The following is a 25,282-nucleotide window of genomic DNA, read 5'->3' on the forward strand; positions in this document are numbered from 1 at the left end:
TGTGACCTTCCTCAGTTCAACAACAAAACCCCAGAGGGAGCAGCAACGGTGCATCATTAAGATAAGAGATCTCACAACACTGAGCTAGGAGATGATTTCTGGAAATCCCTACAAAGGAATCTCTGGGATAATGCTTAGATGCTCACTTCTAGCAAATAAAAGATGGGATGGTCCTTCTATTTTTTTAACTTTATTAAAATACTGAGTTTTATTTCACATGTATATTTTTGTCTCCCCACCATTTCCGTGTCTGACCACCACTACCACTATGTCCTACCATAACATTCCATACATACTTAAAACCAAGCAAAGGGTGGAGTTCCATCTTTAAAAACTAAACAGGCATTTTGGACAACACATTCTTGGCCATGGAACCTGGACAACATTTATCAAACATGGCAGGGAAAGCTGTCACTCTCCATTATAAAAAGGACAGCCAGACATCAGCTCTTACAGAAATGAAATAAGACAGAAAATTTTTAACAAATTGTTTAAACTATTTTCTTAAAGAGACTTCCTCCACTGCCAGAGATCTTGAATAGCCTCCTGGTCAGTTATCCAGAAGCCATTATTCACGTAATTGATGAACTTGGATTCCACTTTGGGAAGAGAACCACCTTTTTCTATACTTGCTTGCATTTTTACTTTAATGTCTTCTACAGAACTAGGTCTTTGTGGTGTTTTAGGAGTTTTTTCCTGTTTTTGAAAGATTCTTGTCCTTTTGATCTTGGTGTTGATGGTTTTGAGTCTTTTCCATTCTGATTTGACTTTTGTGCACTTTTGGCTAGAGTATCTCATATAGATTTCTTTACTGGCACCTTTTCTTCAGTTTCCTCATCATCAAAATTATCATTGTCATCATCATCATCATCTTCATCAGCAGCAAGTTTTACTTGTTTCCATGGAAACTTGCTACCACCCCCTGGGGCAGATTGCTTTCCAGATATACTTAAGAGTTTCACATCCTCCTCCTCTTCATCTCCTGACTCTGCCTCTTCCTCCACAGCTACTAAGTGCTGTCCACTAATATGTACTGGTCCTGAGCCACACTTCAACCATAAGACGACTGGTGGTGTTATTTCAAAGCCCCCAAGGGAAACCATTGCTGTACAGACATTTTCAAAGTTACCAGTGTTACTTTAATTGGACTGCCTTTGTAATTCATTGCCTCTGCTTCAACAGTGTGCAATTCATCCTTTGCACCAACCACTAAACTGACTGTTTTTAAAGATAACTTGAGCTCATTTTCATCATTATCTACCTTAAGGTGATCATCTTTGTTGGCCTTTAGTTCACAACTGAAAAGGTAATTCTGGGGCCTCAGGGTGCTCGTGTCCATGTCCATCGAATCTTCCATGAGGTGGTGGCATGTACTTAGGTGGGAGAGAAGGCGGATGGAGATAAATGACTACTGCTCAAGAGAACAGTCACTCAGGACAGAATCACACCAGAGGTCCTTCTATGTTAAAGAGCAGGTAAGCTCCCGCAGTGTCGCACAGCCTTGCCAACCAGAGATCTGGCAAAAAGCCCCTAATGGTGCGACTTTGTCACAGATATAATTAGCACGAGTACCTCAAAAAGCCTTCTGGGTGACCTTCCTAGCTTCCCCCAACTGAAAGCAAGTGTGCTGTCAAAGAACTGGGCTCTTAGGGTGAGAAACCAGCTTTTGGATAATTCCACCTATGCTGGCCTGTGTACTCTGAGCATCCCTGACCTTCATCTCCAGAAAGTGTTGTTATTTTTGACCATCTTGATTAATCCTGTGACCTGACGGAGCTTCCAGGCTCATTTAAGTTCCCTGTGTGAAGCTGGCTTAACAAGAGATCCCAGGGTTTTACCTCCCCCGCTGAGAAGCCCCTCTGCTTAGTTAGATCCAGGTGGGGTCTGAAAAGTTCCTGCTCTATGGCCAGGTTATGTGTTTAAAGTCCCCTGTGATTAGGATGCCATCAAATATTCCCATGTGGGACTGACCGAAGTGGTGATTTGAATGCTTTATTTCTATGCCATTCTGCGAAGTAAGAATAGAAATCTCATTATTTATACAAGTTATATTCTTACTTTTACATACTGAAGACTTGGCCTAAAGTATTATATTTTAATGTTAAAAAAAGTCAACAAGAACTTATCAACCTCTCATTCATGAAAAAAAAATACTGGAAAATGTCTGTCCTCATTGAGGAATAATCTGTTGTATAGTTAAAGTCAATTTGAATTTAAGGAGAAATATGAAATTGCCCAAACACACAACACACACATACACACATATCCCACCATCAACACACATAAAACCTCGCAACATTTCTCTTACTCTCTGACGTCTGTATGCCAAACGAATGTTCCTCAGATGCTTCCATATGTCCCAAAATATGTGCCTTCCTTATTTCATTATGGCAGGTTAATAGATATGGCAGGTTCAATTAATTATGACTTAAAACTTTCCACAGTTTTAAGTTTCAAGTATTTTATTCCACAGGAAGAAAAATACAACTTTCAAGTACAATACTTCTAACAATATGACTGATTTTTTTTCTCGAAAAAAAAAATCTGTCAAAACATGACATGTCAGATTCAGCTTCCTTCCACCAACATATCACAATCTGTTTTGATGGAAAAGGGATATATTTTAATTATTTGTTTTTAATCTGACTCCAGACTTGACATATGGCACCTCATTAAGTTCTCTCTACATATTCTGGTAAAAACAAAAACAAGCTGTACAAAGTTATTCAACTTCTGGCATAAAAGTTATTTTTAAGAACTTCTATTGCTTCTTAGGAGGTTAAACAATTCCAGAAAAAATATCCTTTAAGAGCCTGGAGTGACATCCGTTTTGAGAGGCTTGCCGGGAATCAATCACAGCAGACATTAGCTGCAGGCTAAATGTGCTCCTTGAGTGGCGGGTGTGCACAGAGATAGGTGCTGACGGCCCCTCCATGAGCTTGTTCCTCCCTGAAATGAACAGATATTGCCCACGCTGGGAAAAAAAGCATATATTATCTTCGAACTATGGATATTTTCAAACTGTGGATAAAGTCCTTTATGCCTCAACTCTGCCTCCGAAAAGGAAGATAACAGACGATTCATTTTTGTTCAGCTTTATGCTACAACACTTTATGAATGTCTCCTCTCCTATAGCACAAAGAAACAATTCTAAGTATCTGTTTTATCTGTTGGAGACTAATCTAACAGAACTATCAATTAACCAGAACTTCTTATTTTGTCTTGCATTCTACATTAAAAAATAACTTAAAAAAATCCTCATTCAAGATTTTAAAATGTTTTAAAAATCCTTTCAAATAACAACAAAAAGGGACATTCAGAGGACATGCTGATGCCAATACAGTTTCAATCTACTAATTTGGATTATAATTATCTATGCACCTGAAAATGATCAGTAATGTTTAGAAACTTTTTTATTTATTTACATTTATACAATAAATACTGAGTACAAACTTTTTTACTGAGCTTAAGAATTTTAAAAACTAGGAAGATGAGACACAATCCCTGTTCTGAAGCAGTTCATCGTGCTAAAGAGAAGAATGTTGTTGACCACAAAAAAAGGGAATGAAAACTGAGATATTAGCCAGAGTCTTCTGTAACAAAGTTTGGATATAAGACCATTTAGGGATGAAGCGGGTGAGGACATGTCACCAGGGTTTCTAAGGCAGTCACTCTAATTGAGACAAAGTCCTACTCTGTGTTCTATCTTGTCCTCAGAAGCCGATGGGACATGGACTCCTTCCTCTAGGGTCTCTCTTGCCAGATTTTAATCTCTGTTCATGCACCTCCTCAAAGATCTGATGGTGTATTAACTGCATTTGAAAAAAGATGTTCAAGAGAGATTTGGTGAGTGCCTACTATGTACTAGACATAGTCGCAGGAAGTAATGATGCATTGATGAACAAACAACTTCTCACTACCCTAAATCTCACATTCTGGAGGGAAGTATTATGCCACTGTGATTAAAAACAATTCAGTGTGTGTTTATGTGTCAGTGTGTTTGAATGCATGCTTTTGCATTGGGTTAGCTTAATCTATATTCTAGGTATTCATAGCCCAGTGCTGGTGATCAGCTGTCATTTACTCTGTCTAATTTTTAGAGAAGGCTATTATAAGTTCTTTCAACTATGTGTATCTCTCATCAATTCCAGAAGCTTCACTAATTAGTATAATACATATTAGATTTTCATCAATGAAAATAGTGGCTTGTTTGATGCTAGAAATTAGCTCTAATAGGTAAAATGATTCAGTTATGTGGATTAGCAGAAATATTTTCATGGACTTTTTATATGCATTAATGGGATATAAAAATCTAATGAACCCAGTAGCTTATAACCTTGGGGTTGATGCCTAAGCCTTTACTTGGTTAAAACCAACTAAATGTGATATATTTGTATTTTGAGATTTTTTATATGGATTAACTAAATTTGAAGTTTAAATTTGAAGGATAGGATGTAAAGATAAATAAATACAGGTGGAGAGATAAGCAGAGAAATAGAATCAAGGTACACAAGGAAGGAGGGGTGATGAGTATACCAGATGATCTTAAGTATTAGAGCAATAAACTTTCTTTTTGAATTAGAGGAGCCAATGAGAAATGCAAATGCTGTGTTAAGTAGATGTGCAAGTTTTCAGCAGAACAGAACATTAACTGTCAAGAGCTGTGTGTTTTGCAAAATGTGTTTCTCATTGAAGAAGTTAATCCCACTCATTCTCAAGGGACAACCAGAGACTATAATCTCAGGGCAGCTAAAGACGAAATCCTTTAGGGGTAGCATAGAATGCCAAGAAAATTGCTGGAGTTACGTTTTAGGCTCAGGAACACATTTTCAATAAATTGAGTGGCTCCACTGAAACTGTTACAGTGGGTAGCTAGTCAGGTATGAGCAGGGCAGGAGAGGGCTCCTCCTGCCCGACACATACCAGGAGTATCCAGGGTCCATCAGGTGATGGGCAGGTGGTTGTTAACTGTCTCTCTAAAGTAATGACTGGTCACAGCTGGCATCAGAGAAAGCCAGTCTCCTAATAGATAGAAAACACCTGAAACTGGTGATCAGCAGCTTCCCAAGGAGTTGGGCAAGTCAGGAGAAGCAGCGCAAGACCCTGGAAGTGAGCCAGCCTACAAAACCCCAAGTCAAAAGGTCAAACCATGCACTTGGCTTTCAAGATGCCCGCTTGGCCCTCTTCCAAGTGTACTTTTCTTCCTTTTGTTCCTGTTCTAAAGCTTTTTAATAAACTTTCACTCCTGCTCTAAAGCCTGCCTTGGTTTCTCCTTCTGCCTTATGCACTCAAATTCTTTCTTCTGAGGAGGCAGGAATTCAGGTTGCTACAGAACCGTAAGGATATAGATTCGCCACCAGTAACAGAACTGTCCCCTGGGAGGCTGGAGAGCCCCAGGACTACACATATCAGCAGTTGATGTAAATCCAGGGTACAAATTACCTTGAGAGTTACTCTATATTTACAGTGTCATCCAGGCCACAAAGAGTGCGATCTACGCATGGCTATGGAGTTCTCGACAACTCGAACCAGAATGCCTTCACGTGGAAAAGATCTGAACCGTGCGACACCGTCAGCTTCTCCGGCCTCTCAGTTGGAACTTGAGGCAAAAGAAGGCAGAAAAAGTTCCTTGAAAAGTAACCTGAAGATGACCTTGTCCCAGAATCTCTGCTTCAGTAACAGAGAGCAAGGGTAGCTTCCAAGCATGCTCAGATGGCAATGAGCTGAAACAGCAGCAGTTCTCTCAGGATGTTCTCAGCCAGAATTCTCTGCTTTTCCTTCTGGGCCAGCAAAGCATTGACTACAGAAAAATTTCTTTTTCATATGGTGTTTTTTTTTTTCTAAAATGAACTAATAATAAGAAAATAAAATAAACACCAAAGAAAGTATCAGTACGAATATAAGATACTCTTATGCTGACTGATGAAACTGCTAATGGAGCTGTCTCCCTTAAAAGACAATTGTCACAAAAGCAGATCACAATTTGAGTGCCCGTGACTACCAAACAGCAGGAGGAAGAGCAGGCTGCAAATTCCTGGCACCTTTACGGAACAAAGCTGAATTGTTTGGCTTAGGCAAACAAGTTTATGCTTGGTTATAAAGCAGATATTTATCTTTTAATCAAATTTTAAAGTAACAAATACCTAAGAACAATTAGAAATAAAACTTCGTAGACTATATTCCTCAGTTGGCAAAATATTATGCTGGAAATTTAAAGCAAAATAATAGATGTCTTGCAAATTGTTAGACACCAGAATTAGAAACCATGAAGTCTTGGACAGTGACTTTCCAGATCAGATTATTCAATCTTGGGATTTGATGCAATGCCTCAAACTAGAGTCAACAGGAGGTTTACAGTCCAAGGCAATGCAATCTTTCTCAAAATACAACTTATTTCATGCTATCTGTGGGGTTGTAGTGCTGAAGTCTTGGTAGAGGGCAGGTTTCAAAGTAAAAATTTCTCATTTTTCCATTCAATGGTAAATTCTGTCAACATACATAGCAATTTCAACACATATCTGAACTATGCCCTTAATGTTCAGGGTTTTGTCCAGATTTTCAAAATAAACATCACTCATAAAATAGACTTTGTTCTGGTTTGGTAAGACTAAAATGTATACATTATATAGTTCTTTTGTTTCTTCTAGCCCTCTGATATGTAAGAACAAAGATACATTTATATAAAAGTTGATAAAATTTTAGGCAGCCTAAACTCTATTTTTAAGTAAGAAAAAGATAATAAAAATACTATATTTTTTCTCACAATAAAGTTCAAGGAAAAGCTGAGAAAGATGATTCAGAGAAGAGGCTTTTAAATCTTTCATTTATCAAAAAGTATTTTAGAAATCCCTAAAATGATCTAAGAATAGCAAAATTGTTTCATGAGACATAAATATATTTCCCCACGATTTTAGATTTTCTCTGACACCTGAATATGCACTCATAGTTCTTGAATGATACTGAGCAGACAACACAGCCTGCTAATATAACAATCAACAAAATATCATCAGTCCTGGACAGGTCTGCGCAAATATCAAAAGTAAATTCCTTTTGTTCAAAATAAAAGCCATTGGGAGAAAATAAAGTTTTGTGGAGCAAAAAAGATTCTCCCTTAGATAAGATGATGTGGCGTATATAAATTAAACACTCAGCTGACACACAAAAAATTTATCCTTTTACTTAAAATAATTTCAGCCCAATATGTTTTAGGAGCTCTAAGCAAAAGCTAAAATATTAGTTGCTTATTATAAAACAAATAAACTAAACTAAAGATGATTATGTATCTTTCTCTGAGTTAAAGTGTTCTCATTGAAATATCATGATAGTATCTTGGAAACATAAGTAATTTAAAGAAATTACTATCAAACAATGTAAAAATCAAAAACTGATAATAGAACTCATATACCTTCCTTTCTCATTCATGTCAGGAATTGGCTTGCATTTTAATTTTAATTCCCCTCATATACCTTCCTTTCTCATTCATGTCAGGAATTGGCTTGCATTTTAATTTTAATTCCTCTCCCCAAATCCCTCATATCTTTGCATTCATTACAATATTTTAAGAAAAATGATATTTGTCTAACATTTTACTTTTTTACATGTAAATTATCTTTTCAACACTCAAAAACCTTGGGATAGAAATTAATATATAATCCCTATTTTATGAATAAAGAAACTGAAGTTGAGGAAGGTGAATGATATCTTTTAGAGTTTCAGAACATCATTTCCACAAAAAGAATCTATTCCTTTGTAGAAAACACTTATAAAAAAGAGGATTCTTAAATGCGTTATAATAAAGTGAAATCAGTCAATCTGAACAAACTATGTATGATTCCAACTATGTGACATTCTGGAAAGGGCAAAATTATGCATCAGTAAAAACATCAGCAGTTGTCAGGGGTGGGGATGGGCAGAGATGAATAGATGGCACATAGAGGATTCTTATGGCAGTGAAACTATTCTGTATGATACTATAATAGTGGATAGATTTGATTATGCATTTGTCAAAACCCATAGAACTGTGCCACACCAAGAGTGAACACTGGTGTCAACTATGGACTTTTGTTAATAAGAATATGCCAATATTGGCTCATCAATTATAAAACGCAGTGCACCAATGCAAGATGCAAATAGGGGAAACTGTGTATGTTGGGAAGGGGATGCGGGAACAATGTAATACTCTTCAATTTTTCTATAAACCCAAAACTGTTCTAAAAATAAGTTTACATTAAAAAAATTCAAAATCACACCCATGTGCCCTTTTTCCACTTGAAGATATTCCAATGTCATTTCAAGATATGAGTTTCAGAAAGTGATGCTTGCTAACCTTTAAAATCAGGCAGCCCTACTTGTGATCAGGTTCAGGTTAGTCCATAACAACTACTCCGCACCGGGTCTGCACCCAATACTCACCCATTATGTTCCACCCCAAATGAGCTCCTCTGAATACAGGTTTCCATATTTCCAGAGTATAATAACAGTTAAAGAGGGAAACAGGTTCAATAGCAGAAAAGAGAAAGTTGTTTTAGTCTAACAATGAAAAAAAGTGGATAATCTAAAAAATCATAATAAATAAATAAATAATCATAATTTTTTGAGACTATCCACACGATTGCAACTGTCAGACTATTGCGACTATGCAACTATCAGCACTATTGCAACTATCAGCACTGTTGCAACTATCAGCACTATTGCAACTATCAGACTACTGAAACTATGAAGCTGCAAGGTGCCCATGTGACCTGAGTTTCCTCTGAGGAGCATGGGGCACACAAATGGTTCCATCTGGGAGCACTCCAGGAAAAGAGTCCCCCTGAAGGCCCAGGGCCAACATTACTGGCAGGTTGGAATCCCTGTGAGCCCTAGACACCAGGTACCTGCCCCCATAACCCCTACAGCTGGCTTTTCCCCACGGGCAGCTCAGGTGCCCACAAGAAGGGTTGCAGGCAGCACTGCAGGCCCCAAAGGTCCCTCTCCACTTCAGTGACACGGTTGTGCAGGGACTGCCTAGTTTTGAGGGTAACACAGGAGTCCATGGGAAACTTATGCGCATTTAGGCACAGACAGAAAACTTGCCTGCAGCCCGGGCCCTTCTTAACGTGGGGCAAATGCCATCTGCTCCTGAGGGAAGGGTGGAAACACACCTGTCCAGATAACAGAAAACGGTTTTCTACCACTGAGGAAAGGTAAAAAAAACACCTCTCTCCCTGCATAACACTAGGCAGAAATCTCACTCCTCCCCAGGAGTCCGCACTGATACAGTGAACCTCGGAGTTGGCTGTGGGGGCAGGGATGGAGACACCACACACCCAGCTACCAAGCAGAGTGTGCTGTCACCTGTGGGCAGGGCGAGGATGTGTGCAGGACACAGGCCTGCTTTCCAGACTATGCAGAGTGATTTCCCTGGGGGAGGAAAGGATGCTAAGAAAGTTGTTTTCCTGAAACTCAGACACATGGGGCCTGCCTAAGCCTAAGTCTGGAGTCGAGAAAACACACGCTTTGCTCTCAATAACAGCAGCCGCCCCTTCCACTGGGTAGCAGGAAACCAGCCGCTGAGAAGGGCATGTGGTCTGAGACAGCAGTACACTGACAGTAAAGGTGGATGACTGAACGTGTTCTCTGGCACTCCAGGTCCCAGACTAAGTTCAGGCCAGTGGCAGGCTACTACTGAAGGGATGTGAAGGCTACAGTACACCCAAGGTAACTTCGGAAACAACAAAACAGGTAGGGCTCAAGTGCAGACTACGTGGACTCAACACACCATAGTTAAGAGCCTGGCAGAAAAAAACCAGTCAGGTCCATAAGTAAATATTCTGTTTTTACAGAGACCGATTTCTATACCCAGCATACATATCTTTCATGAATAAAGGTGAATAAAGCCTTTCTCACGCAAATAAAAGCTGAGAGAATTCGGGAGGCAAAAGAAAAATGATATCAGTGGAAATTAAAATATACACAAAGGAATGCAAGAGCTATGATTTGTAACTATAAGCTACCTATATGAGACATGTTTCCCATTTTAATCATATCAAAGTTAATTAAAGCATTTAAATAAAAATAATGCAAAGAGTTGTGGGCTTGATGACATATGTAAGAACAAAATATATGACGATAGTACGAAGGATAGGAGGAGAGAGAAAAAAGTTGCTAGGATTGTATATTACATGTGCTGTGGTTTAATATTATTTAAAGGTCATCTGTATTAAGAATAATGTGAATGTTGCAAACCTCAGAGAAATCAGAGAAATAAATAAATAATAAAAAGGATGAGGCCAATCAGCCAAAAGTAGAGATAAAATGGAAACATAAAAACATAATTATTTCAAACTAAGGAAATGGGAAAAATACAGAAAAAAAAAACCAGATGGCACCAATAGGAGATGACAAATTAGATGTCAAATTTTAATAAAAGTATATTAATAATTATGTAAGATATTAGTCTCTTGAAAGATAAAATTAAAGGTCAAGATGTTTATATTGGATGAAAAGCAAAGACCAACTGTGTGCTGTCTACATGTAGCACACGTTAAAAATAAGTAGAGGGAACAGTAGATTGTGGAAACACAATTCCAAAAGAAGCTGGATTAGCTATATAAATATTGGATGAAGTAGATTTTAAAATAAGTGATATTACCAGGAATAATGAGAAACATTGCATGATAATTAAGGGTCACTTCATCAAGAATTAAAAAAAACTTTTAAATATATAACAGAGCTTCCAATGATATCAAGCAAAACCCAAGAAAACAGAACTTTTTTTCAAATATCATAAATATTGTTTGAAATTAAAACACTTCTTTCTCTCTCCATCATTGATGGGATGAATACAGAAAATTAGTAAATATATAGAAAATTTGAACAATACTATTAAACTTTTTTTATTTTTGGACGCAGGGTCTTGCTCTGTTGCCGGAACTGGCACTGGAATGTAGTGATCCAACAACTGCTCACTACAGCCTGGAACTCCTGGGCGAAAGCTTTCCTCCCACTTCAGCCTCCCAAAGTTCTGGAATTATAGGAATGAGCTACTCTGGCCAGCATCCAAAATATTTTAAAATTAAAAATGACATTTATAAATAATTCACTGGTCAGATAAAAAGTTACAAGGGAAATAAGGAAATATTTTGAATGGGATTATATGAAAACAAGTCATATCAAAATATGTCATATGGAGCTAAAACATTGCATAGAGGAATATTTATCGCATTAAATGTTTACTTTAGAAACAAATCTCAAATCAATCATCTACACTTACACTTAGGAAACTACAAAAAGGAAGAGGAAATTTAATTCAAATCTGTCTAACAGAAGGAAATAATACAAATGAAAATAGAAATCAATGAAAATGAAAGTTAATAAATGCAAAAACAAAGAATAATAAAATCAATAAATTCTAGTCAGTTTCATTAAGAGAAATAGAGGAGGCGCAAATTGCCAGTGAAAGATAGGCCATCACAACAGATACAACAGATAATAAAACGATCATAATAGAATATTGTGAACAACTTATTGCAATACATTTGAAAACTTAGAGGAATGCTTTTGTTCTAAGAAACAAGAAAACAAAGGAAAAATGACAAGGAAAGTATGTCCAAACATACCACTTTTATTAAAAATTATATTGAAACTTCTACCTAGCAGAATAAAGCAAGACAAAAAAAAATTAAAGGCAAACTGATCAGGAATAAAGAAACAAAATTACCTTTATTCAGAAATGGCATGATCATCTAGTTAGAAAAGTCTGAGGATTTATAAAATTGGTAGCAGTTTAGAGTGTTTACAATGGTCACAGGATATAAGGTCCATAAACAAGAAGTCATTTTATTTCTATATATTATAACCAATGGGAGTTTGAACTTAAAAACTGGAACTACTTATAATCACATAAAAATTGTGAAATATTTTGGGGTAAATTTCACAAAATATGCACAACATCTGTGCACTGAATATTACAAGTCATCGCAGAGAGAAATGAAACAGAAGTCACAAATTGGGAGAAAGTACTGGTAAACATTTATTAAATTATCTACACTCCATATCATATTTATAATGTATTCAGCATAAATAAGAAATTCTTGCAATTCAATAAAAGGAGAATATAATTACAAAGTAGGCAAACAGGTACTTTCCAAAGAGATGTAAAAATGGCCAATTAGAAGCAAAAATGTGTTCAACATTATTAGCAATTAGGGAAATACACATTAAGACCACTTGTACATTCACCAGAATGGCAAAGCAAAATTTCTTGTTATACCAAGTGTTGGTGAGGATGTGAAGCTACTAGAAGTCTCATACATCAGTGGTGAGAGAGGAAAAGCTGTGAATTCTCTTAGGAAAGCTTTTATCAAGCCCAAATCTACTTATCTTATGATCCAGCAATGTTAGTCTGAAGTATTTATCCATTAAAAATAAAAATAACTGAGAGCAAAGGACCTATACGTGTATGTTTTTAAAAGTTTTGTTCATAAAAGTTAAAAACTGCACACAATTCAAATGTATATCATCTGATGAATGGATAAACGAATTGTGGTATATTCATAAAATTGGGTACTATTTAACAATAAAGAAAATAAACTATTGATATATATATATATATATATATATATATATATATATATATATATATATATATATATAGAAATAAATGAATTTCAAAACTTTCAAGCAAAGTGAAGCCAGAAATAAAAAAATACATAAGCTACAGTTTTATAATAGTTTTATAATATGCCATCCTGGGAAAGGCCAAACTCTAAGGGCAATAAGCAATCCAGTGCTTGTCATGGTCTAGGTGAGGGGGAAGGACTCAACGATGAAAAGGGACATTTTTGTTGAATGGATCAAAATGTTCTATACCTTGATCATGGTGGTGGTTGTGTGAGTATATGCATTTATGAAAACATCAAAGTGTGTTTCCGTGTGTATGTGTTCTGAAAGTGAAGGGAAAAATACTCAACTGGAGGATTTCTTTTTCTTTTCCTTTTTTTTTAGATGGAGTTTTACTCTTGTTGCCCAGGCTGGAGTGCAGTGGCGCGATCTCGGCTCACTGCAACCTGTGTCTCCTGGGTTCAAGCAATTCTCCTGCCTCAGTCTCCTGAGTAGCTGGGATTACAGGCATGCGCCACCACACCCAGCTAATTTTGTATTTTTAGTAGAGATGGGGTTTCCCCATGTTGGTCAGGCTGGTCTCGAACTCCTGACCTCAGGTGATCTGCCTGCCTCAGCCTCCCAGAGTGCTGGGATTAGAAGCGTGAACCACTGCGCCTGGCCTGGAAGTTTTATAATAACATTAGATATATTTAACTGTATACATCAGCAACATTCATGTTCAAATTTTATGAAAAGTGTATGTTTTCTCATATAAGTAAAATATGCTTGACATACATATTAGAAATAAGGATCCACTCTTAAAATGACATCTGTCCATTCATTCATTTATATTTATTGAATGTATAGCTATGTGAAAAATTCTATTTTAGATTTACTTTAACTACTCTTTTTTATACTAAAGTTATGTTTTCCTTTTAAATAGATGCTTATTTAGCATTATGCTAATACACATTTCTTATATTTTATATTCCTTCTCAAACTATACTCTTCATCAATTTCTATTGTAAAATTTGGATTTAATATATATGCGTAAAGTTTATTCTACCCCTCCATTGTTAGGACATTAAGTCAGAAACTGGGCACATAGAGTAAACTTTACTTGCTTATCTGTTAAAATTTTGCATACATAGCTTGAGATCACTGACACTGCTTATGTTACTGAGACCCGTAGAACACATCGGGTACGTAGGACGCTCAAAACACACATTAACTGTCTTCTAGAAACTCTCACTGACCTCTTCAACAAGCTTTTTTAACTGAACTGTATTTATGCAACAGGAAACGTGAGCATTTTAAACAAAGGGACAGCCTGATAAGTTAGCGCATTGACTCAATGATGCTGTTGATGATGCTAGTCATATTCGTCATCTGCATCCTCTCTAATAATAACTGCAGAAGAATTATTTTATGTCTTCATGAAAAAAGTAGTCATGTTTTCTCACGAGTGATTTGTCTTCTGTCTCAGCTTCCAAGAAGGTTAGCAGCACATTTGCAAGTGCTCAGCATTTCAGAAGACTTATTTTTTATAATACTTCATCTCTGCATTATCCCATTTTTTTTCTTCTAATCTTTGCCTTTGGCAGTTTTCTTACTTTCCTATATTTATATTTTTGCAGTTTCCTTACTTATTTATATTTATCTTGTGTTACATCAGTTTGGAAAATGGGTAGGAGGTACATAGATGATTAATGAGAGAAAAAAGGTGAAGGAGAGAAGAAAGAAAAAAGAAAAAGAGAGAGAGAAAGGGAGGGAGGGAGGAAGGAAAGAAGGAAGGAAGAAAGGAAGGAAGGAAGGAAGGAAGAGAGACATTTCTAAGACATTAAGCCCCTGCGGGTCCGGCTGAGGAGGAACACCTCTCCTGCTACCTGGGTTGAAGGCTGGGGTAGCTAAAATGCACACATTTCAGTGGCAGCAACCACCAGTCCACACGATGAGTTGGTTTCCAAGTCCTTGTAGTGAGAAGATGTCACTACAACTTTATGCAAGGGGTTTAGATATAACTTAGTTCTTTTACAATCTGTACTAATACTATTTTTAGTGAAGAAACTCTTTGATCAGGAATATTTATTTATAGGGCTTTTTAGTTTACAAAGAAAGGGCTGTGGAGAAGTGTCTGGAGGAAGCCTATGAAGACAAATGGTGCTCTGTGTGAAGAAAAACATATCAGAGATTGTGGTTGTCTTGACAATGCTTTCAGGAAATCTTAGTTCAGACAAATAAAAGGATATATTTTATTTAAAGAGGAAGGAGCAAAGAGAAGTGAATGGAGTGCTAGAGAAGAAATGATCAGAGGAGGCATCTTAAGACCTCAGAAAGTAAAATGCCTCCAAGCCCACAGGGGTGAAGACTGCCCCAGCTCATGTGATTCACAGGACTAAGGGCAGGGGCGGGGGGCACACTCCATACCCAGGGTGGGTGAGGCGGGTGGAGGTGTGGTGTTTGAGCAGCCACCACTTAAAGTCTGTATCTGTAGTTAGTATTTGGGCTTTTGAGACAGATGTGTAGGAAGCTTTTTGATCTGGCAACCAGTAAGTTTCCTGAGGAGGCTAAATTCACTATCATCCCATGCCCAGAGCTGCCTGGCCCGCCTACTCTGTGCAAAGGTAATGCCACCCTTTGGGCATGTAGATTTTCCATACATTACACCACAGGAAGTTTCCTCATCACGTCAGACCACTTCCTCATATCGGTGACCTTCAAGTCATCACTTCTGCCATCTGGAAATGGGCTTCAGTGTCTGATTTGAATTTCTATGACTAATATTTTATAATGGCATTCAGGAAATTAAAAATAAAAGTATGAAGTCTGAATAAAAAGTAATAAAGTTTAACTTATACCAAGAGCCTTCTAGACATGTAAATATCTGGAATGCAGGTTATGTAATTTACAAATGATGAAAAAGTTAGCTGTGTGAATGGTCCAAAGTTCTACAATTATCTGAGGCAAATTTTCTTCTTTTTAAGAGGTAAAATCAACAAAGACAGCCTACCAACTACCACGAAACTCCACATTTTCTTTATTAGCCAAGAGATTCAACGATTTTCATTTTTGCCATTGCTTCCAGGAACTCTCAGACAACCTAGCAACTCCGACATTCAGATGTTGAGTTTCACAGCCTTTCGTCATTTCTGAGAGATGAGCCATCATCTGTTCTTTGAGCCTGCATGTTTCTGTCCTTGCTTGACATACTCTAGTTCAAGTTGTCTTCTGCCACTTAGACTTAAAAGATGCTGGCACCTAAAGATATGTTTTTGGAGACATATTCATGCTTAAATGTATTATACATTAGGGAAAACAACTTTGGTATGACTTCTCTCTACATTTTGTTTTTCTTCATAATGCACATCATAAAATATCTTTGCAGCCAAAGTGTTAGAGAATCTCAATGCTTCACACACATAGGGTTCGTTTTGCAAGGCAAGGCAGGTCTCCATGACCTACAGCTCTGTTAAAGTGGGGATTTCTATAGATCAGGTCTACATGCCCACTTCCATGGGGCTTTGTGGCTGTGCTGCCTGGCCTGGCTCTCTGAGCAGTGATGCTGCCGAGGATGGAAGGACAGGCCTTGGGAAGGTGCTCCAGAGGACAGGGCAGCCTATGCAAGGCTTGAGGAGGGTGTGCACCTGGGTGAGGTTCCAGAGAGCAAGGGGCCAGAGGGGAAGAGAGGTGGTAAAGTGTGGAGTGGATGTAACACAGAAAGTGGGGATGGACCAGGATGAGCCTCACAGGCCATAGTCAGGACCTGGGCCTCTACCCTGGAAGAGACAGCAGAGGCTGGCCCAAGAATTCAGGGGTGGGGGAAGGTGGGGGAGGCCTTGAGTTCATTAATGTGTGCATTACCTCATATGTTTATTGTTTTTTGTAATTCTTTTTAATCACAAAAAACATCATGTTTTAGTATCTACTGTCAGCAATCTTCAAGAATATAATGCACCATTATTAACTCTGGTCGCCATGCTGCTCATTAGACCTGTTGAACTTATTCCTTCTGTCTAACTGAAATGTGTACCCTTTGTCCAACATCGCACCCGAGCCCCCAGCCCCTGGCAAAACAGTATTTTACTTTCTAGTTCTGTGAATTCAACTGCTTTAGGTCCCACGTGTAAGTGTGATAATCACGTGGTTTTTGTCTTTCCCTCCCTGCCTCTTCCACTTAGCAGAACGTCCCTGTTCATCCATGTGGTCACAAATGACCGAACTTTTTGTTAAGGCTGAATACTACTCCATTGTGTAAACATACGTCACACCTCACGTGATAAATACATACAATTTTTGTTTGTCAATTAAAATGAATAAAAAGGTTAAAATAAAATTATTTATATAATGGAACTGCATTACAAAGTGTCCAAATTTTGTATTTATCATCATCAATTCATGTCTATATTTGTCTTCTTAATTCATAGGAGGTATCTTCATAACATGAGTGATTTTTATTTGGACAAGTTCTTCACACAAATTAATTTTAGAACTAAAAGGGGAAAATATATGTTGAACTCAAATGAGCAAACAGTTCCCAGTTTTTTTGCAAATTACTCAGCAGTTGGACTTAATATAACACATAGCCCTACCCCTGTAGGCAAGTGGATGATTTAAGATCAAGATATTTCATGTACTTCATATTCTTATGATGATTTTTGTAAATGAGATTTATTTAAAAACTTGTCATGATTGTATGTTTTTTGATTTAGTAAACATGCCTGATAGCTAATCAACAATAGGCTTCACATTCTGTTATCTGTTGTATTAAAACATACTTCATGAATTACTTGTGAAGTAATAGAATCTTACCTATAATGTAATCTATAGTGCATTCTACATTGTTTTATATTCTTATAATTACTATTTTTAATATCTCAACTAAAAAAAGTATTCATCCCTTCCGCCCCTACCTATGGTTATTTTTTAAAAATCATTTTTATTTTTCTTTCTGTATTTCTTGCTTTACCTCTGAAGTTATTTTTATGTTGGTATTTTCATGTTTCTTATTAGAAACACTGTTAGTCATCAGGAGACTAAGCAGTGTTTTAAATCTGTACCAACTGTTATGTAATCAAGAAATTTACTTTTTCTATCAACCCTTATACAAATTTAGATTCCACAGACTACTAAAATATCATGGTTTTGCACTTTCCATTTATATTTAATATGTGAATTTTATTGCTATTAGGGTGACTATATGTTGCATGAAATCTGAATTTCAGTCATTTACTGTTTTAATAAAAATATAATTGCAAATGAAATTGCAGATCACTACTTTTTACTGCATTTTTCCAACAATAATTCTGCTTACACAAAGCTCAAATAGCCACTTAATGAGGTCAATTCAGAGGGAAACATTTTTGCCTCTTAGCGCCTGAGCTAAGAGCTTAAGCAAAGGCTTGGGGTGGAGGTGGCTTGGAGAGACTGAGCAGGGCAGCTTCTCCTGAGTGCAGCTGGTGACACCCCAGAACACATGCTCAGTGGCCGGAGTACTCAGTATTATAATTGTCTATGTACTGGCTTTGTTAAAAGATTCCAAATGTTTGAACATACTTTCGATTAACTTGGTCATCCTATAATATCCGTGATCTCTGAGTACTTAAGGAATTTCTTGCTGTATCAGTGTTTGTGTGAACACATGGTTTTACCACTGAATTAGGTTCGAAGCATTAACTGCAAAGCCTGAGTTGCTTCCTGAGGTTTGCAACCAAGAACCCCAACTGCTATGCATACGAGATTTAACTCACTCCCAAGAGCAAGCGAGACTGCAGTGTTCACCGGTCTGACACACCCTGAGCCCACTACACTGGAGAGGGGCGCATGAATAAGGCAGTCAAGAGCAGTCGGCACAGCAAATATTCATGGTCATGTTAACGCCTTGCTCTGGGAGCTTATGGTTAAATGAGGGAGGGATGGCTGAAATAGTTAACTTGGCTCACTGTGGTGAATGAGAGACATACACAAATCACTAAGGAAGCCCCAGAAGACAAGAGTAGGTAGAATTAGGGAATTAGGGAAGGTTTCCTAGAGAAGACAGTAGGTAACTTGAAACAAGAATTAGCAATATTCTGGAAGATAGGAAGCAGTTACTCTCTCTCTCTGTGTGTGTGTGTGTGTGTGTGTGTGTGTGTGTGTGTGTGTGAGAGAGATGGGATGAATTGCTGGGGAGAATGAGAACTGAATTCTATGTGAAGGGAGTATCCTCTGGATAGTATACATGATACTGAGCATAAAGCCATTAAACTATAATACAGGCTCTTATCATTAGCACATTTAAAGGTGTTCACAGGAAATATCACAGTGCTATGCAATAGGGAGTCGACTTTTATAGTTGAGATTCTCTGCTGGAACACCACTTCCCTCCAGCGTGACTTTAACTCCCACCCCATCCAGTCACTGAAACCGCTGAGGGCGTATAGCCTCCAGTGATCCCATAGAGAAAATAGAAACACAAATAGAAGCTGTGCTTAGATTAGAGACAGAAGGCTACTATGGTTTTATCAGCCATTATAGAAAGTGTACATTAATGACTAAGTATTTATATGTCGTAAGCTAAGTATGTGTTTAAACTAAGAAATGATTGCTCTTTGGTTAATAATATATACTCTGAAGAAAAACACAGACATTCTGGGGACACCAGACCAAGAGTTGTGAGAATATCCTGAGACACCAAGAATAGAATCCACATGAAACCAGTGTGAAATAAATTCCTTGAATCCTACCAGTTATGGGCTCTCATGATTCTTTAGAAGCCAGGCGAAGAGATGGGTGTCAAAACACACTGCTTACCATTTACGACTGGTGGATATAACTGTAAGAAACCTTTTGTCCTTCAATCCTTGCTGCTTGTGACAATGGCTGGGCATGGGATTATTCATAAGAATTAAATCCAAAATACAGAGAAATTTGCAATTATAAAGCATGTACCAGTAATTGGTATGTCTAAGATGAAGGTCTGGAGTAGGAAAAGTGATATTGAACACTGTACTTTAATGGCTATTGGATATTTAAGAAATGGCATGGTTGTCGTGCAGATATGAACTCTATAATAAAATAAAAGTTATTTGCTTGTTTCAGGCTTGCATCAGAAAAGAGAGAAGGAGAAAAGAATGCCCAAAATGTCAGGCACACATTCTTAAGGATAGAATATGGCTATGGAGAAATTCTTAGAGCTAAGGAATAATACTTTCATTCAATAAGAATGATGCTTTGAAGAAGGAAAAGAAGATAATAATTATGTCATTGCTAACAATAATAACAATAACAAATAATACTTGAATAGCCCATATGTGCCAAGGCTTTTGAGACTGTGCATGTAATCCAACAATAGCACTATGAGCTATTTGGAGAAGATCTTCTTGATTATGAGGGACAGAAACCAAGTTGTAATTGGTTTAAAGAAAAACTACTAGCAATAATGCATGATGATAACATGGACTTATAAAGCTCACAGTATATTCCAGGCACCGTTCTAAGTTCTTGCATGGATTAGCTTCCCAACCCTGTGAAGTAGGTACAGATGAGGAGGCAAAGAGAGTGTGCATGATTTGTTCATGATCACACAGCTGGGAAGAGTCAACCTGTGTTTGGAACTGAAGCCATCTGGCTCCAATGCCATATTTTTACCCATCTGATAAGAAACTGTGACTCATATCATTAAAACACTAAGGTAGACCATGCTTCTGGCAGCACTGCGTGTCCTTGCTGAAGGAATGTCACCAGGGCTCTGTCTCTGTTTCTCAGTTCTGCTTTCATTTACTTCGAAAACTCTTCAGTGTCCTGCACACATGCTCCCCCATGGTAGCAGCCTTGAATTTCATATGCCTTAGTAACACTGATAGAGAGAGTATGCCTCTTTCCTAATAAGCTCCAGCAAAAGTTCTGGGTTATTTCTCACAATTCAATGTCTTGAGCCTATATCTGTTTTGTTAGAAATCACTGTGACTGTCAATTATTGGGACTAAAACCATACCAGTTTCTGGAGCATAAGATATAAAGTCAGCCCCAACTGAATCCGTGGACTGGATGTAGGAAAGGGTGGTTCCTCAAAGAAGAAACGAGGTGCTGCCAATAGAAAAAATATTACTAGATTCAGGGCAAGTCAAAAATAGTAGATAGCCATTACCCCAAAAGTTATACAGCAAATGAAGTTCAGTAGAGGCAATTTGGCTTCAAGGCCAACCCTCTTAAGCGAATAAATTAGTCTTTTTTGGTTTATTCTGCAATTCATGCCTATTCTTTGAAAACCTCCATCATCAAAGGTCTATTATAACCTCACTGTTTTGCTAGTGTGATCTGGGGAATGGATGGAGTTAAACAGTGGTGAGAAAGTTAAAACCTATAATTGTTAGAAGCTACGCCACTAAGGAGAAACAATTCAGGCAAACACAAGCCTACCCTCTTCACCCCTCTTCTGCCAAGCAAGCGTCAAAATAATGGGCGAAGGCTCTGGGTGACATACAAAACAAAACAAAACCTCAAGCTGTTTTATTTGGAGAAGATAGGAAGAGTAACCCCAGAACACCATAGGAGGTGCGATCACTTGCATGGGAAACCTTGTCATTCTCCATTCAGAGGGAAGATTTTTCTCATTTTAAGTAAACCTCCACATCATCTTTAAAAGATCCTATATATATTTACAGATAGATATTTAAACTGGCTGAATAACACCAGGCATAGCCCAACCAGCTAAACAATGCACCTTATAAAGTTCTGTTTTAAAGACACTTATTTCTGTTTAGTGCCTGCAACCACCCTTCATCCAGACACAGCTAGACAAAGAACGTAGGCATTAATACTCCAAAGTGAGCATCTTAGACTTGCATGATACCTAGTAAAAATAAAAGCATGTTTTTTTGTTGTTGTAATATATACAGTTTAGTTTGGTCTTTGTTCAAAACAGTTTATTTCAGTGTACTCAAATATTAGAATCATTAAGTTTTTAAACAACCTTCATAAAAAATTGTTACGGAAACTTGATTATTTTTCTAGCAAAAAAAAAATTAAACCACACTTTAAAATTTACATTAATTTGATCTAGACATTTTTATTCTCATAGAAACTTAAGTTTTAATGATTTTCATAAGAAAAAAGAATTAATAAATATATTTTATGATGGTTAAAATAACCCAAATTTCTAAGACAAGTAATTTGACACCCACAGAATATCAACTAAGTGAAACCAACCAATTAACAAGCTGGCCAAACTTTTAAGCATTTAGACTCTGCCTGGCCTTTAGAAATATAATCAGAGAAACAAATGACATATTTATTTAAAAAAGGAGGAAAAATTCTGAAATGCAATATTATATCGGTACGTGTGCAGACATGCTGATAAAATTCCTTAGCCTTTATTGGGCCCTGGCTATGTGCTCAGTACCATGGTAAACATTTTACGTATTTTATTGCTTTAAATATCTCCATTTTACAAAGAGAAGCGCTATGGCTTGGTGAAGTCATGCAGATAAGGAAAGATCCGAGACCCTCACTCAGGCCCTGTGTTTACAGGAGGATTTTTATTCATATAGTGACCGCATCTGCCTCTGGCAAGAATTTGTGAAGTATTCAGTCAATTTTTACATGTAAACAATTATAGCAATCCTATAGAATTCAGGTGCTGTTGTAAGTTGAATTGTGTCCCAACCAAATTCTTATGTTGAAGTCTTAACCTCTGGCGCCCCAGAATGTGACTTTATTTGGAAATAGGGCCATTACAGATGCAATTGTTAGTTAAAATGAATCATTCTGGATTAGGGTGATTCTTAATCCAATATGACTGGTGTCCTTATAGAAAGCAGAAATTGACACACAGGCACACATAGGAAGAACACATGCAAAGATGAAGGCAGAGACCAGGCTTCCGCTTCTAACAAGCCAAGGATCACCAAAGATGGCCAGCAAACACCCAGAGGCTGGAGGAGAGCCTGGAACAGATTCTTCCTCTCCGCTCCGGGAAGAAACCAGCCCTGCAGACACCTCGCTCTCAGATTTCCATCTCCCAGCCAGAGCTGTGAGAGAATTAATTTCCATGGCTTTAAGCCACATGGTTTGTGATGCTTTGTTATGGAAACCTTCAGAAACCGATAGATGCTCTCATCCTCCCTCTACCCAAAGAAATTAATAATCAGAGACTATCTAAAACAGAAAGGCTTTGGCTAAAAGTTGACAAGAGCCTTTAAAATTCAGGCTTTTCTGAATCCAAAACCCACACTCAGTAGGAGAGCACTGCACAAAAGAGAAAGGGTTAACGTCCTTGCCCTGGAGCTACTAACAGGATGCTGCACACGTGAGAATAAACTCTGACAGTAAATATTATGTTGTCTAATGTCCACTCTTGATGATAGCATTCTTTTTTGATTCAGAATGCTACAAGATTAGGGTTCCCTTTTCAAAAAAAGTGTTGATTATTTACATATTCAAAATCCTTCAAAGAGATCCATGTGCTTTGTAAAAAATCTGTACCATTGACATGTACTTTTTGCTAATTGAAATGCACTTTAATTTTGAAAATTATGTCCCATTTCATTAAAGAGTTGAAGACAATCTGTATAATTAGCTAGAGTTAAGAGTCATTCAGTTAACAATTTATGATTGTTAAATGTTAAACATATTGTTGATGAACAGTCATTTATTTAACCTAGATAAAAGTCTTTCCACCTCTCCTCATTATAAAGTTTACAAAATAAACAATTCTGTGAGAACTATCGAAATCTAGTAACATTTGATTTAGGGAATCAGCAATTCCTGTGTAGGTTTTCTTTATCCCTTTAGAGAATTATCTTATTTTTCCTTTCCTCTAACTCCACTAATGAAAATCAAGCAGATTAATGATAAAGGACATTAATATTGCAATTAAGTTAAATTCTAAAAAATCCTAATAAAAATGATTTGAAAAACTGTAGGCTACAATCTAAGCTGGTTCTCTTTTTATGCCTATAAAGTCCATTTGTTCCAAAATATTTGGTGAAATTTATATTTCAGAGCAAAAATTAATTGCAGTGTAATGAGTAGGAATGGAGAAAGAAACCCTGAGAGTAAGTTAGGATGACTATATTAATTACTTTTTTATTTGAAGTCAATATAAAAATTGGAATTTGAGGAGTAATGTTGATCAGCCTCCTTCTATGAACATTGAAATGCACTTATACAAAAAATGTTCACCTCGTCACTAGAGCTCCAGTGGATATGATTTAATATTGTTGAAATCAGAAGTTTCATCTCCTAGAATAAGCAAAGATGTTTTCTAAAAATCATTATAAGCTGTGGAACAAAAGTGAAGAAGATTAAACTAATACACATATAAATGAAATTTGGGTAGTAATATTAATGGGTGCTGTTTAGAGAGATGGTTATGTGAACTTATAATGCTATTGGGCTATTTTTACAAATGTGACATCATAAGAAATTCTGTTTCAATATTTGAAATATATCCTAAAAGATAGTTTATGTATCCTGGGGATGAGAAATATGATCAGTTTTGAAAACTCATTAAGACAGACTCTACCCAAATATAGCAAAAAGCCAATCTCTTTAAAATACTAACACAGGGCAGGTCGGAGAGACAGAAAGGAAAGGCGATGGAAAGACTCAAGTAGCACTGTAAGCAGAAAATCTTGCCACCATTTGAGAAAACAGTTTAAACTCAGGATGTTGGTGTGTGTTGGTGGGCGGGGGACAATGGTATTAGACTTTAATATATCATCTGAGAAGCAATTAAGGTGAAAATTTTGTTTCCAGTAATAGATTGTCTCAATGAATGGTAAAATTCATTTTTCAGTTTTAGGTTAGACTATCAGAATGTCTCAAGCAATAAAAACAATTTTAAAAGAAGGTTAACAGTCTTTACATCTCAGGTAGATAATTTATTGTTGTGCGTAATACCAGATTTTACCAAGGAAATCTTATATCTTTCTGAAAACTGTTATAGAGATGCTATCGAAAAAGAAATACTTTGTAGTTTTAGAAAGGTGTTAGCATAGTATCAGATTAGATGTTTTTTAAGTCAAATAATTTAAGAAGCTTTGTGTGTTTATATTAATCCCCAGAAACTGAAAAGAATTTTAATTATTAATTATTTTCATGTTTCAATTTTTTAGTAGAAGGGCCACACATCCAAATTATTATGACAAACCAGATGAGAAATAATAAAATTGAAAATGAGCAGACTTTTATTATAAATTTCCTTAAAAATAATAAAGTTCATCCATTTTTAAACAAGTTATTCTCTGGAATGGGCAAAACTCCTAGTAGACTATGGAAGCTGAAAGTGGCTTTGAAAGATTACACTTGATTTTCAAAATTGTGCTAACTTGTCACATTACCTGAATGGCTATTTGTGCCAACAAGTTAACTTCTTGTTATTAAATTAATCCTAATGGATTTTGTGAATAATTTTAATTTTCATTGTCGTGGGAGGAAAAATGATTCACACCCCCCAAACCATGACAGACAAACATTTCCAGACAGATACCCTTTATTATTCAGCCAAAACATTATTTTCTTATGAACTGGATCACCTTTTCTTAAGAGAAAGCAACAAAATGGGAAACAGCATTAAGGAAAGGAAAGAGTGGATTAACCAGATTCTGAGGCAAAGCCCTTGTGTATTAAGACTTTAAGTAACAGAGTTTGTTTTAGCATGTTCTTTTCACTTACTACGTGAAATCATTTGCGTTTGAATAATCGGTAATCTCTCAAA

The 25,282-nt window shown here is 36.9% G+C and overlaps 1 pseudogene, besides 2 other annotated features; it reads right to left on the bottom strand.

Moving 5' to 3' along the window:
* Nucleotides 420–1,453, bottom strand: NPM1P48 (nucleophosmin 1 pseudogene 48; annotated as a pseudogene).
* Nucleotides 9,170–9,669: an enhancer, noted in NCBI's record as "H3K27ac hESC enhancer chr2:4570459-4570958 (GRCh37/hg19 assembly coordinates)". NCBI's record gives its function as "activates a minimal SCP1, AML or CMV promoter by ChIP-STARR-seq in primed H9 embryonic stem cells {active_cell/tissue: H9 hESC(primed)}" and the evidence as "EXISTENCE:reporter gene assay evidence [ECO:0000049][PMID:30033119]".
* Nucleotides 20,270–20,339: a silencer, noted in NCBI's record as "silent region_11117". NCBI's record gives its function as "represses an Ori minimal core promoter by ATAC-STARR-seq in GM12878 lymphoblastoid cells {active_cell/tissue: GM12878}" and the evidence as "EXISTENCE:reporter gene assay evidence [ECO:0000049][PMID:35858748]".

Source organism: Homo sapiens, chromosome 2 (genome assembly GCF_000001405.40).
Source record: "Homo sapiens chromosome 2, GRCh38.p14 Primary Assembly".
In the NCBI taxonomy this organism is placed as follows: domain Eukaryota; kingdom Metazoa; phylum Chordata; class Mammalia; order Primates; family Hominidae; genus Homo; species Homo sapiens.